General features: G+C 43.0%; 2 protein-coding genes across 9 annotated transcripts in view, besides 3 other annotated features; one reads left to right on the top strand and one right to left on the bottom strand.

Annotated features, from left to right (window-relative positions):
* Nucleotides 1-3101, bottom strand: part of ZNF382 (zinc finger protein 382) — a 28802-nt gene extending 25701 nt beyond the window's left edge. For 3 of the 5 annotated variants that reach the window (NM_001398491.1, NM_001398490.1, NM_001398492.1), the window contains exons 1-2: nt 2684-3101; nt 792-862 (exon numbers count right to left, since the gene is read on the bottom strand). Coding sequence is in view for 2 of the 5 variants with exons in the window: in NM_001398492.1 (NP_001385421.1) it covers nt 792-800 (9 nt within the window). In the remaining 3 variants the exon portion in view is untranslated. The remainder of the gene's footprint in view (nt 1-791; nt 863-2683) is intronic. The other 2 variants (NM_032825.5, NM_001256838.2) reach the window with 1 other exon arrangement.
* Nucleotides 2650-2709: an enhancer, noted in NCBI's record as "active region_14529". NCBI's record gives its function as "activates an Ori minimal core promoter by ATAC-STARR-seq in GM12878 lymphoblastoid cells {active_cell/tissue: GM12878}" and the evidence as "EXISTENCE:reporter gene assay evidence [ECO:0000049][PMID:35858748]".
* The window catches only part of ZNF529 (zinc finger protein 529), a 61931-nt gene continuing 51214 nt past the window's right edge, over nt 2871-13587 (top strand). For 3 of the 4 annotated variants that reach the window (NR_027239.2, NM_001145650.2, NM_001145649.2), the window contains exon 1: nt 3157-3288. The gene's annotated coding sequence lies outside the window, so the exon portion shown is untranslated. Of the gene's footprint in view, nt 3089-3156; nt 3289-13587 lie in introns of those variants that run through there. The other variant, XM_011527164.4, reaches the window with a different exon arrangement.
* Nucleotides 3070-3129: a silencer, noted in NCBI's record as "silent region_10549". NCBI's record gives its function as "represses an Ori minimal core promoter by ATAC-STARR-seq in GM12878 lymphoblastoid cells {active_cell/tissue: GM12878}" and the evidence as "EXISTENCE:reporter gene assay evidence [ECO:0000049][PMID:35858748]".
* Nucleotides 3690-3829: an enhancer, noted in NCBI's record as "active region_14528". NCBI's record gives its function as "activates an Ori minimal core promoter by ATAC-STARR-seq in GM12878 lymphoblastoid cells {active_cell/tissue: GM12878}" and the evidence as "EXISTENCE:reporter gene assay evidence [ECO:0000049][PMID:35858748]".

Genomic DNA, 13587 nt, shown 5'->3' with positions numbered 1-13587 from the left:
GCACCCGCAAATAAAAAATTAGAAGAAACTAAAAAGAAAATAACAAATCTCTAACAGCATTGGAATACTGGAAAGGTTTTCACTGGCAGCCCACAATTTGTAGGAATGGCTAGCAGACATGAATGAAAAAAGATCAGAGAGGAGGAACATAAAACGTGTTTCCTTTACAAGCCTGCAATCAAATTGCTATCCTAAACACCTCACAAAGCAGGACATCTTTCCAGAAACTAATGCTGGGATCTACCACTTCTATTTCCCAACGTACCATTGCAAAACCTAGGCTAGCGGAGATCATCAAGGTTTTTCCACGTCTGCTCCATGACTACTCACAGCTTAGGTCTCAAATCAGCATCAGGACAAGTTAAATTCATTCAAGCCATATATTCCCATTTAAATCAAGACAATACCTTTCTATTCCAGCAGTTTGTTTGTGAGAAGACTGAGAAAGGAGATGATGAATGATATACCCAATGAATATGTACAACCAGAAGGTACACTTGGGGAAGGCTTAAGTTGATTTGGTTGGAATGGAGAAATTGTGAACAGGGCTGGATACAGGGTGAGGCAGGTGAGGCACCTAGAATGCAAAATTTAGGAGGGCACAGCCCTGAGGGTACCCCTTAAATATTTCACCTCATGCCACTTGCCTGCCTCAGCCTAATCTGGCCCTGACTGAAGACTAATTTCATGGAAGCAAATCCCAATATCAGGGAAGGTTAAAGGACAGTGAAGCTCATGTTCATACACCATGAAAAAAAGTTATTTCAGAAAGAGAGGAAACATCATCTCACCTGAGACATGGCTTTGAGATTTCTAGATGAACTTTCTCTTTTGAGCTCCTCTTTTGGAAAAAGAAACAGTCCTGAGAAAGCAAAGATGGAGGATATACGTATGTGAGACCATACTTGACTCAGAACTCCCAGAATTAACTCAGTTAAATCTGCATGAATGTTCACTATTTCAGCACTTGTCCACCCTGTGTACCCTTCAGATGTCCAGGATGGTAGTTAGTGGGAAAACAGACAAATCAGGCTCCCTCACAAACACCAGAAACCCAGTCTCTTGGTAAAGTATACAGGATTCTGGGGAACCTGTTTTAGCTTGAAGAGAGGGAACACTGTGTTTTTCCCTCTGCAGCTCTGCCTTCCATCTACCTCTAACCACAGGTTTACTGTGTATTTCCAAACGGTTCTTCTTGGACTTTTTGCCAATTTACACTGATAGTAGTGGATGAGAATACCTTCCCAAGCCCTGATGAAGACAGTTGACAACTTTTAAATCTTTGCCTATCTGGTCTATGTTGTAGTTGAGAATAATCTTTTTTTTTTTTTTTTTTGAGACAGAGTTTCACTCTTGTTGCCCAGGCTGGAGTGCAATGGTACAATCTTGACTGACCGCAACCTCCACCTCCCGGGTTCAAGCGATTCTCCTGCCTCAGCCTCCTGAGTAGCTGGGATTACAGGCATGCACCACCATGCCCGGCTAATTTTGTATTTTTAGTAGAGATGGGGTTTCTCCATGTTGGTCAGGCTGGTCTCGAATTCTCGATCTCAGGTGATCTGCCCACCTTGGCCTCCCAAAATGCTGGGATTACAGGCATCAGTCACTGCACCAGGCCCGCAAAATAACTATTTTAATTACTACAGTGAGACTGGACTTATTAAAAATCTATCAAATACTTTTTATTATCTTAGCAAGCCTAAGGGAGTAGGAAACCTCACTCATATACAAGTGTTGAAAGTGGTAGTTATGCCAGGCACAGTGGCTCACACCTGTAATCCCAGTACTTTGGCAGGCCGAGGGGGCGGGGGGAGGGGATCACTTGAGGTCAGGAGTTCAAGACCAGCCTGGGCAACATGGTGAAACCCCATCTCTACTAAAAATACAAAAACTAGCCGAGCGTGGTGGCACAAGCCTGTAGTCCCAGCTACTCAGGAAGCTGGGGCAGGAGAATCACTTGAACTTCAGAGGTAGAGGTGGCAGTGAGCAGAGATCATGCCACTACACTCCAGCCTGGGCAAAAGAGCAAGACCTTGTCTTAAAACAAACAAAAAACAACAACAAAAGTGGTAGTTATGGTAAAAAAAAAAAAAAAAAAAAAATTTCCTGCATGTCCCCAATGGAATGCTATTCATTTCAACATACTGGTTTTAGTTAATATGGTGTTTCCAGGAAATGAATCTGGGAATTATGAAAATCATCTCTTCCCCTCTGATACTGTTATCTCTATTTTATTTGCTAAATTGCTACTTAGTTACAGTTTTGGAGGCAGGCTTAATGGCTACTATTCAGATAATCAAGTCTTACATAACCAACTAGCCATGGTCATAACAGAGTTCCTCAATCATTCAAATATTTAGGTCACTAAGGCCACAAAACCACCAGAAGTAACAGTAGGTTACAAACACATGCAGAGTCACAGTCAATCAAACATCCTTCAGAGAACCACCAACCTACAGGCCCCACTTGTCATTCACAACCTCAGACAGCAGCTAACACGACTCCAGGCAGTCACAACCACACCTACAAATCACTTGCAATTCTCCACACTCAAAGGCAGTCTCAAATGCGACTCACACCTAATCTAAAAATAGACACACGCAGAGGAAACCTCGCGCAGCAACACTACTCCGTTCACTTTTCACACACAATCGGCCACAACATCCCAAAGAGAGGCAAGCACCTAAAATGCAGCAGGTTGGGCGCAGGAGGCCACCCCTATTCAGCGCGCGCCCGCGCGCGCGAACACACAGCGCCCGCTCCGCGCGGGGACCCGCCGCCAGCGATGGCGCTTCCGCGGGATCAGAACGGGCAAAATCCCCCTTCGCGGAGCTCGCTCCGGGTCACCCTCAAGGTCACGCCCATGGACCACGCCCGAGGCCCGGCTCGTACAGATCGGAGCGTCTGGATACCGCGGTCCCGGTTTCCTCCTCAGAATTTCCAGGCCCGGCTCGGACTCTTGGTTACCTCCCTGGCCTCCCCACCCGGTTCCGCGTCCTTAGACAGCTCTCCCGGAACGGAGCTCCCAGTGCCCTCCTTGGCCTCCTCAGCACCCCTGGCACCCACCAAGCCTCACCCCCGGCCCAGGGTGAGTCGTCTGCGCCTGCGCACTCGCGCGTGGGCCTGAGCTCCCAGGAGTCTCCGGGGCGGCCCGTTAGTCGCCGCGCGGTGCTAGCTGCCGGCGCTCCCCTCCGTTTGCACCCACGGCCGCCCTATTGCGGCTGGCACTACGCTTCTGCCAGGACCCCGGCTCCCTTTTCCGTTGACCTGGTGTTCGTTTTCCATGTGGTGAGTTGAGGTGACCCGGGTCTGGATGCGAGAAGAGCTCACGGCAGGGGACCTGGGTTCATGGGACGCGGAGAGGGTTTGTGGAGGCAGAAGCCCCAGGCCTGTGTGCAAGTCACCTGCTGGGGAGGGAGACTGTGTGATTGTGTTTGTGTGTGCCGTTCTGTGGCTGCGTCCGTGTGTGGTGGTGTGAGTGGGCGCGCCTGTGATGGTCCCGGGGGGGCGGGGGGTGTGCACAGCAGGGGGTGTGTGTGCACAGCAGGTGCACAGCCCGGGACAGCCCTGACTGTCCCCGATTGGGCCCGCGGGACTGAGTGGGGGCGGGGCCGTTTGTGTGACGGCGCTGAGCGGTGACTATGAATGTGTCATGCTGTTATCAGTGATCCTGTGACAGCGCTGTTGTGACCCACTGGAGACTGTGATCAAAACTGGCCTGGTGCAGCTTTTGTAGAGTTTGATTTCTGCAGTTCTGGGGCTCAGGAATACGTGGACAAGGTCCCCGTATGGCTCGATCTGTGTCTGTGAAGACTCTGAGACCTTCTGTTCTAAAGCATGGCCCCTGTCGCTTTCATAATGCATAATACACAGTGGCATGCAGCCTCGCCAACCTCTGGGGCCAATTTTAAGTTACGTGGTTTCTTGGAGTTTGTTATACTGGGATTTCTTTCACTGCCTCAGTCATTTCACCTTATAACCACGTTGCACAGTGTGCAGTCAAATGGCTATCGAAAAGAAAGTTGGATATTTGAGATCCAGAATGAAGTTTCCAACTGAAAAAGCACAGCCTTGTGTTTCACATGGACAAGGCTGTGTTCTGATATGCACAGCCTCGTGTTTGATATGGAGATGTTAGAGCTGGAATTGCTCCCAAGGCAAGGTTCTGGGAAGATATGATATTGAGGCCCCAGGAGTAGGATTCGTTTCTCCAAAGATTTTGTGTGTGTGTGTGAGATGGAGTTTTGCTCTTGTTGCCCAGGCTGGAGTGCAGTGGCGCAATCTCGGCTCATTGCAACCTCCGCCTTCCGGGTTCAAGCAATTCTCCTGCCTCAGCCTCCCGAGTAGCTGGGATTACAGGCATGCACCACCATGCCCGGCTCATTTTTGTATTTTTAGTAGAGACGGGGTTTCACCATGTTGGTCAGACTGGTCTCGAACTCCTGACCTCAGGTGATCCACCCGCCTCGGCTTCCCAAAGTGCTGGGATTACAGGCGTGAGCCACCGTGCCTAGCCAAAAGATCCCTTTTGGAAGCTCTGTGGGGGCAAGTTGAATATTGCAGATCCACAGCATTTTCATAGCTGTCTAAAGGAAATTATTGTGAATACAGAAACATTTCAGTCCCAGGCTTTGGTGAACCTGACTTTTCTTTATGAAGGGAAGAGTCAACAATATTCCAGTCTTTCTCATACTTCCATCTGGTCATATTCAGCATGGGTTATGGAAGCTTGCCGGTGGTGAAGAATGTGTTCTTATTTAGCCTGTCTGGGCTCCAAGAAAGGCTGAGTATATTGTGATTCCCTTTCTTTCCACATTTTGCTGTATTCCAAGAGAAGAGCTCTGAGAGAAGAAAAGCATTGTAGTTGCACATTTTAAAGCAAAGCTGGAGGTCATTTTGATTTTTTTCTTTGTTTTATGAAATGCATTTTTGTTTTTCAGGATGTGGAATAACTTCATTTGAAATGCTCACCAAATAGTGACTTATCTATTTACCTGGTCTCTAGTCCTTCTCTTCCCAGTTACTGATGACATTATGAAGACAGATCTCCTTCTTTCCAGTACCTCATCAGATGCCCTTCCTAGAGTTAATTTTCATATAACACCTTGACAGTATGTTCACTTCTCCTGTGTGCTCTTTTTGTTTAAGCATTCTCATGACATAGAAATAGTCTGCCTTCACACGGTGATTTGTTACGGAGGAGACCAATTGCTTAGGTAGAATTACACATTAGATAGTTTAGATTTTCTTCAGAGACATGAGTGGAAAAACAGCAAGATAGGAGATCGTTTGAATGGTTATAGTAACTTTTTTTGTTTTAGAGGACCTTAGGAGTTAGAATATTATTGCAGAGTATGTGCAGAGAGAGCTGTTAAGAAGGGCAGGAAGTTTTTCCGAGGGGATACCTTAGGAGATTTATATGGTACCAGCTAGTTCTTGCATGAGGTTTGGCCGCATCACGTGTTTTTTTTTTTTTTTCTTTTGAGACGGAGTTTCACTTTTGTTGCCCAGGCTGGAGTGCAATGGTGCGATCTTGGCTCACTGAAACCTCCGCCTTCTGGGTTCAAGCGATTCTCCTCCCTCAGCCTCCCGAGTAGCTGGGATTACAGGCATGCGCCACCATGCCTGGCTAGTTTTGTATTTTTAGTAGAGACGGGGTTTCTCCATGTTGATCAGGCTGGTCCTGAACTCCCCCCACCTCAGGTGATCCACCTGCCTCAGTCTCACAAAGTGCTGGGATTACAGGCGTGAGCCACCGTGCCCGGCCAGGTGTTTTTTTCTTTTTTTCCCCCAAGTCACATAACTGTGTAGACTGTGTGAGTATGGTATAATGGTCTCTGGGTCTAGAACAGGGGTTTGCAAACTATGGCCCTGTGGGCCAAATCCAGCCTGTAGCCTGTATTTTTGTATGGCTTGTGAACTGATTGGTTTTAACTTTTTGTTAATAGTTGACCACGAAAAAAAAAAAAAGGAGAGTAATATTTCATGACATGTGAAAATTATATGCAATTTAAATTTGTGTCCATAAATAAAGTTTTGGATTTTGGCAATTAAAAATTTGTGGAGGTGGCCAGGCGCGGTGGCTCACACCTGTAATCCCAGCACTTTGGGAGGTCAAGGTGGGTGGATCACAAGGTCGGGAGTTCGACACCAGCCTGACCAACATGGCAAAACACCATCTCTACTAAAAATACAAAAATTAGCTGGGCATGGTGGCATATGCCTGTAATCCCAGCTACTCGGGAGCCTGAGGCAGGAGAATTGCTTGAACCTGGGAGGCGGAGGTTGCAGTGAGCCGAGATCGCGCCACTGCACTCTAGCCTGGGAGACAGTGAGAATCCATCTTAAAAAAAAAAAAAAATTGTAGCGTTCAGGTGCAGTGGCTCACGCCTGTAATCCCAGCACTTTGGGAGACTGAGGAGGGAGGACTGCTTGAAGCCAGGAGTTCCAGACCTTATCTCTAAAAAAAGGAAAAACAAAGGGGAAATTTTTCATCTCTCTTTTATATAAACTCCTATATAATATCCTTAATTTTGCCTTTTAGCTCACAAAGCCTAAAATATTTACTATCTAGTCCTTTACAGAAAAGTTTGCCAACCCCTATTCTATAGTATCTGAATTAAAATCTAAGGTTTTGCTAATTATTAATACTGTGTGTGAATTTGGGCAATATACTCAATATCTTTCTGTTCTATAGTTTATTATTTATATAATAATAGTACCAATTTCAAAGGATTTTTATGAGGATTAGCAAAGTTACTATTAACAGAGTAACAAAACGGTGGCTGATAATAATAAATTATTAAGCTTAAATTTAAAACCTTATTATGTGGATATTCTAAGTCATTCCACATTCACATATAAGGTGCAATGAAAATATGAGGTTAATTGTGATGGGCAGTGGTGCGATCATAGCTCACTACAGCCTGGAACTCCTGGGCTCAAGCAGTCCTCCCACCTCAGCCTTCCAAGTAGCTAGGAATACAGTTGTAATTAAGAATTACACTTGTGGCCGGGCGCAGTGACTCACACCTGTAATCCCAGCACTTTGGGAGGCCGAGGCAGGCGGATCACGAGGTCAGGAGATCGAGACCATCCTGGCTAACATGGTGAAACTCCATTTCTACTAAAAATAAAAAAAAATTAGCCAGGTGTGGTGGTGGGCGTCTATAGTCCCAGCTACTCAGGGAGGCTGAGGCAGAGCGAGACTCCGTCTCAAAAAAAAAAAAAAAAATTACACTTGTAATTAAGGAAATAGGATGAAGGTTCCAACAGAAAAAGCACAGCCTGTGTTTGATATGGAGATGTTAAGAGATGGAGATGTGGTACCCAGCTAGTTCTTGCATGAGGTTTGGCAGCATGAGGTGTCTTTTTTTTTTTCCAAGTTACATAATTGTGTAGCCTGTGTATGGTATAATGGTCTCTGGGTCTATAGCAGGGGTTTGCAAACTATGGCTCTGTAGGCCAAACCCTGCTTGTAGCCTATTTTTGTATGGCTTGTGAACTGATTGATTTTAACTTTTTCAATAGTTGACAACAAATCAAAAGGAGAATAATATTTCATGACATGTGAAAATTATATGCAATTCAAAAATTTGTGGAGTTCAAGTGCAGTGGCTCACAAATATGCTCTGTCTAGAACAGGGATACTTCACCTGGAATAATTTGCCTTGGAATTATATACCTAATTATTGTATGTTTATTTTATTCATGCGTATTTTTTCCTCGGCAAAAGTCTCTAATTTTATGAGAGTATTAAGGGTATATACAACCCAAAAATGTTTTGAACCACTGATCTATAACACCTGGAAATGAACTTTAGGAAGAGTTTGTCCAAAAACAATTTCCTGTATTATGTAAATATTAAGTCAGTCAGTTTACATCCAAGTGATGTAATACTACATAGATAATAAGAAATTGGAGATACTAATATAAAAAATATAAGATGGAATATCATATAACATTCATATTTGTGAGCAAAAGTACACAATGAATTGCTAAATTATAAATCAGTTGAACTATGATAGGCGTTTATTAGCAGCTTTTCAAGGATTATATTAACTGGTCATTCAGTAAAGAAAGGCAATGATAAAACCACATTTGTTAAGCCTCCACTGTGGCCCAAACAGTATTTATTCAGTGTGAAAGGGCCACTTACCTCAATTTTGCACATCTGAACAAAAATCTTAATATTGGAAATGTCTCAGTACATTGATGAAATATGGGAAGAGAATGTACAAGACTTGGTCAGGCACGGTGGCTCATGCCTGTAATCCCAGCACTTTGTGAGGCCAAGGTGGGTGGATCACCTGAGGTTAGGAGTTCGAGACTAGCCTGACCAACATGGTGAAACCCCGTCTCTACTAAAAATGGAATAATTAGCTGGGCACGGTGGCACATGCCTGTAATCCCAGCTACTCGGGAGGCTGAGGCAGGAGAATCACTTGAACTAGGGAGGCGGAGTTTGCAGTGAGCCAAGATCGTGCCACTACATTCCAGCCTGGGCAACAGAGTGAGACTCCTTCTCAAAAAAAGAAAAAAAAAAAAAGAATGTGCAAGACTTGGTAGGCTTGTTTATTTTGGTCAGTTTGGTTTTAGTGCTGCTCTGTGTCATTTTGCCAGCCTGTTTGCTCACAGTTTTCTTAATAAGTAAAAGATAGCTTTCCCTCCCAGCTCTTTAGAAAAATGCTTTAGGTTTTATCATTCCTGATGATGGAATTAATGCAGTCTAATTGAAAAAAATTCAGTAACCTAAGTTGACTTATAAAATAGAAAGTTGTAAGTACTCATAGTTTTATTATCTAGAAAATGTTCACTATTAATATTTTGGTGTACATTCTTCTCAATTTTTCCTTGTAGATATGTTAATATGTTCTTGTTTTTTTCAGAAAGATTCACATGAATTAGTCATTTGAATGAGAGAAGACCTCTCTACTCTTAGCTTGAAAAAGAAATTCAAATCAGTCATGCTTTTGTTAGACTTCCATGTGTGTAGGGATAAAAAGGAAGTGTCATTGATGCCCAACTGATTTGACAAACATTCTGAGTATTTACACCTTTTAGAATTATATACATATTAATTTATGCATAATTACCAGGAGAACAGGTAGGCAGCTAAGTAAGGTAGCTAGTCAGAATTATATATGTATGTATGTATTTGTACAGACTTAGGTAACTTTCACAAGACAGCATTAATCTTTCAAGACCAGAAGTCTTAGGAGACTTTGTTATATAAATCACACTGCTGAGGATGGGTTTATGATTTCTGATAACAGAATTGATGTTAATAGTTACAAATAGGCATAAAAGACTGGATTGGCCAAGGAACAAGACTGATCTTTTGTTAATATTTTCAATTTGTTAACTATTTGGGTCAGATTCTCTGAGCTATGTTTATAAGCCGAATGACTTCTCTCTAGCTGCTGTCCTTTTCTTTTTGAAAAAATCTGTGGGTAATGTTGTTAGTGAAGACTAATTACATTTGCAGGCTGTGCTTTGTAAGATATTAGCTTTATAAGAAAGAGCAGGCCTCAGAAAGCATGTTAAGGACAGAAGACACTTTTCTTTAATACTAATAGATTATATGACATGACATAGTCTTTTCATCATCAATACAAATAGATGATATTTATTAGGTGATTTTTAGGTACTTATTATGTGCCATGGGAGTGATTTGTTGTTAGTTTTTTTTCCACTTAATTCTGACAACTCTGTGAGGTACAAGGTGCTGTTGTTTTTCTAATTTTATTGATGAGGAAATCTAGGTAATGCCAATAAAATACTTGTCAAAGCACAGAATTAGTAACTTTCAGAGCTAAGATTAACATATTGAAAGTTTTAATCACATCTTTTGTTCTTATTTGCAACTGTACATAACCTCCCAACCATTTTTTTTTTTTTAAGAGACAGGGTCTTGCTCTGTCACCCAGGCTGGGTTGCAGTGGTGCAATCAAGGCACACTGTAGCCTCAAACTCCTGGGCTCAAGCTACCCTCCTACCTCAGCCTCCTGAGTAGCTGGGACTACAGGTGTGCATGTCACTCGGCCCGGCTAATATTTTTTACTATTGTAGACACAGAGTCTCACTATGTTGCCTAGGCTGGTCTTGAACTCCTGGTCTCAAGTGATCCTCCAGCCTCAGCCTCCCAAAGCGCTGGGATTACAGGCATGAGCCACTGCACCCAGCCAAGAAGTAGTCTTAAATGAAAAGAAAACCATAGAGAATACAGAGAAGCAATGCTAATATAAGGATGCATAACCAGTCAGCTATTACTAGAGTCAAAGCTGAATCCTACCCAGGCAATTCCTTGTACTGGCTGTGCAGCTCTCGTGACCTGACCAACTTTATACCCGCTTCCAAGACCCTCTAGGAACGTGTGTCTTTGTCATTTTAAGTATAGATATCTACAGGAATGTGGCATGGGCTTTTGGTGGGTGAACAGATTGCAGCCTGCTCAAATCTACCTGTTCAGGCAATAATGTAGGATCTGGATAATTTATCCAGTCTCCTGGGGTCCCACTGAATAAAAATATTTCCTTCATGTACCTCTCCTTTTAATATCTACCTATTTTAACTTCTCATAAGTAAAATAATCTTCTACTCAATATCTGTGTAAAATTCATCCATGTTGTTCCATATAGCAGGTACCTGTTCCTTCCTTTTGCTGTGTAGTATTCCATTGTAGGATGTGGCACAGATTATTTATCTGTTCTATTGTTGGAAATTTGAGTTGTTTCAAATTTTTCTATAGAAATACTGCTAGTATGACCATTATTGTCAAAATATGGACAAAGACATGCACATAAGTATTAATCCTCTCCCCCACCCCTGCACACAGACATTATGGAGATAAACAGGGGTAGAATTGCTGGATTGTATGATGTATGTATGTTCAGTTTTCGTAGATACTGCTAAACATTTCCACTGTGGTTGTACTTATGCTGTCAGAAGCACTGCATGAGAATTTTAGTTGTAACAAGTTAAGCACAGTATTATAATCTTTATGGTAACTAAAATAATAGTGCATGACAGTATGAACTAATATGGCAAACTAGAATAATAAAATTATTTGACCAATAAAATAAAAGGTAAGAATGGGGGAATAAAAGAACAACAAAAAAAGAGGGGGACACATAGAAGTAAATGTTGATGAACTTACCTCCAACATAGTAATTAAATTAGTAATTTACATTACATTAAAGAAATTTAATGAAACTGGACTAAACAATAAAAAGATTAACTATTGGCTGGGCACAGTTGCTCATGCCTATAATCCCAGCATTTGAGGGGTGAGATGGGAGCATTGCCTGAGCCCAGGAGTTTGAGACCAGCCTGGGCAACATAGTGAGACCCCATCTCTACAAAAAATTAAAATTAGCTGAGTGTGGTGATGCATGCCTATAATCCCAGCTACTCAGGAGGCTGAGGCGGAAGGATCACTTGAGCCTGTGAAGTCAAGACTGCAGTGAGCTGTGATTGAGCCACTGCACTCCAGCTTGGGTGACAGAGCGAGGGACGAAAAGAACAAAATCAACCATATGCTTTTAGTAGCTGACACACTTTTAAGTATAATGACATAGAAAAGTTGAAAGCAAGGCTGGGCGTGGGGTCTCACATCTGTAATCCCAGCACTTTGGGAGGCCAAGGCGGGCAGATCACTTGAGGTCAGGAGTTCGAGACCAGCATGGCCAACATGGTGAAAACCCCATCTTTACTAAAAATTTAAAAAAATTACCTGGGTGTGGTGACACACACCTATAATCCCAGCTACTCTGGAGGCTGAAGGATGATAATTGCTTGAACTGGGAGGCAGAGGCTGCGGTGAGCTGAGACCAAGTCACTGTACTCCAGCCTGGGTGACAGAGTGAGACTCCATCTCAAAAAAAAGAAGAAAAAAAAAGTTGAAAGCAAAAGTATGAAGGTGGTAATGCAAACACCAACAAAAGCTGATGTTTATTTATGTCAAAAAAATAGAGTTTAAGGCCAAAAATATTATGAGAGATAACATGGAGGCAGCTCATAATGATAAAAGTTTATACCCAAGGCTGGGTGCGGTGGCTCACGTCTGTAATCCCAGCACCTTAGGAGGCTGAGGCAGGTGGATCACGAGGTCAGGAGTTCGAGACCACCCTGGCCAACATAGTGAAACCCTGTCTCTACTAAAAATATAAAAATTAGCCAGGTGTGGTGGCACACGCCTGTAGTCCCAGCTACTCAGGAGGCTGAGGCGGGAGAACCTGGGAGGTTCTTGAACCCAGGAGGCAGAGGTTGCAGTGAGCCAAGACCATGCCATTCCACTCCAGCCTGGGTGACAGAGTAAGACTCTGTCTCAAAAAAAAAAAAAAAAAAAAAAAAAAGAGCTTCAGGATATAAAAAGGTCAATAAAAGAGAAAGGATGAATAGACAAATTCAGTCATCATTGGAGATTTTAGCACACCTTTCAGTAACTTAGAATAAGGAGACTAGAAATTATTAATGATGGAGGTGAGCAAACGACCTAATTGACATATATAGAATACTGTATCCAACTAGATATAGTACCATATATATTTATTTATACTTCTATATAGATATGTATAATGTAGATATATGCTATCTCCAACTAGACAATATTATATGTATATTGTAGGTATATGCTACATCCAACTAGAGAATATAAGTCTGACACTTACTGAAATTTAGGCAAATTACTTGCCCTCTTTGTTTTTTGTTTTTTGAGACAGAGTCTTGCTCTGTCGTCCAGGCTGGAGTGCAGTGGCACAATCATGAGGCTCACTGCAGTCTCAAACTCCTGGGCTCAGGTGTTCAAGTAGCTCAACCTCCAAGAAGCTAGGACTACAGATGCACACTACCACACCTGGCTAATTTTTTAATGTTTTGTTGTAGGGACAGGATCTTGCTATGTTGTCTAGGCTGATCGCGAACTCTTGGCCTCAGTCCTCCCACCTTGGCCTCCCAAAGTGCTGGGGTTACAGGCATGAGTCACTGCACCTGGCTTACTTGCTTTCTTTACCTTTTGTGTCTTGCTCTGTTGAATGGAAATAATATATTAAATTATAGAGCTGCATGAGGATTAAATGACAAGGTTTATAAAGCACTTCTCAAGAGAGTTCTTTGTAAATATTGTCAAGCTGCAGAGGTCATAAATTCACTCTTCTTCAACTTGGATACTGAGAAAAGAGGTAGTGACCAATGCTACTGAAGGAAGTTGTGTAGTGATTGTGATTGAGAAATAGGAGGCCGGGCATGGTGGCTCACGCCTGTAATCCCAGCACTTTGGCAGGCCAAGGCGCGTGGATCACAAAATCAGGAGTTCGAGACCATCCTGACCAACAGGGTGAAACCCCGTCTCTATTAAAAATACAAAAATCAGCCAGGCATGGTGGTGCATGCCTGTAATCCCAGCTACTCAGGAGGCTGAGGCGGGAGAATCACTTGAACCCAGGAGGCGGAGGTTGCAGTGAGCCGATATTGTGCCACTGCACTCCAGCCCGGGTGACAGAGCAAGACTCCATCTCAAAAAAAAAAAAGAAAAAAGAAAAAAGAAATAGGAAGTGCTGAGCTAGAAGCAGTTGGGTTGGCTGGGAG

The sequence above is a fragment of the Homo sapiens genome, chromosome 19 (assembly GCF_000001405.40).
Source record: "Homo sapiens chromosome 19, GRCh38.p14 Primary Assembly".
In the NCBI taxonomy this organism is placed as follows: domain Eukaryota; kingdom Metazoa; phylum Chordata; class Mammalia; order Primates; family Hominidae; genus Homo; species Homo sapiens.
The sequence above is the reverse complement of the archived record's forward strand: the minus strand, read 5'-3'. Positions and strand labels throughout refer to the sequence as shown.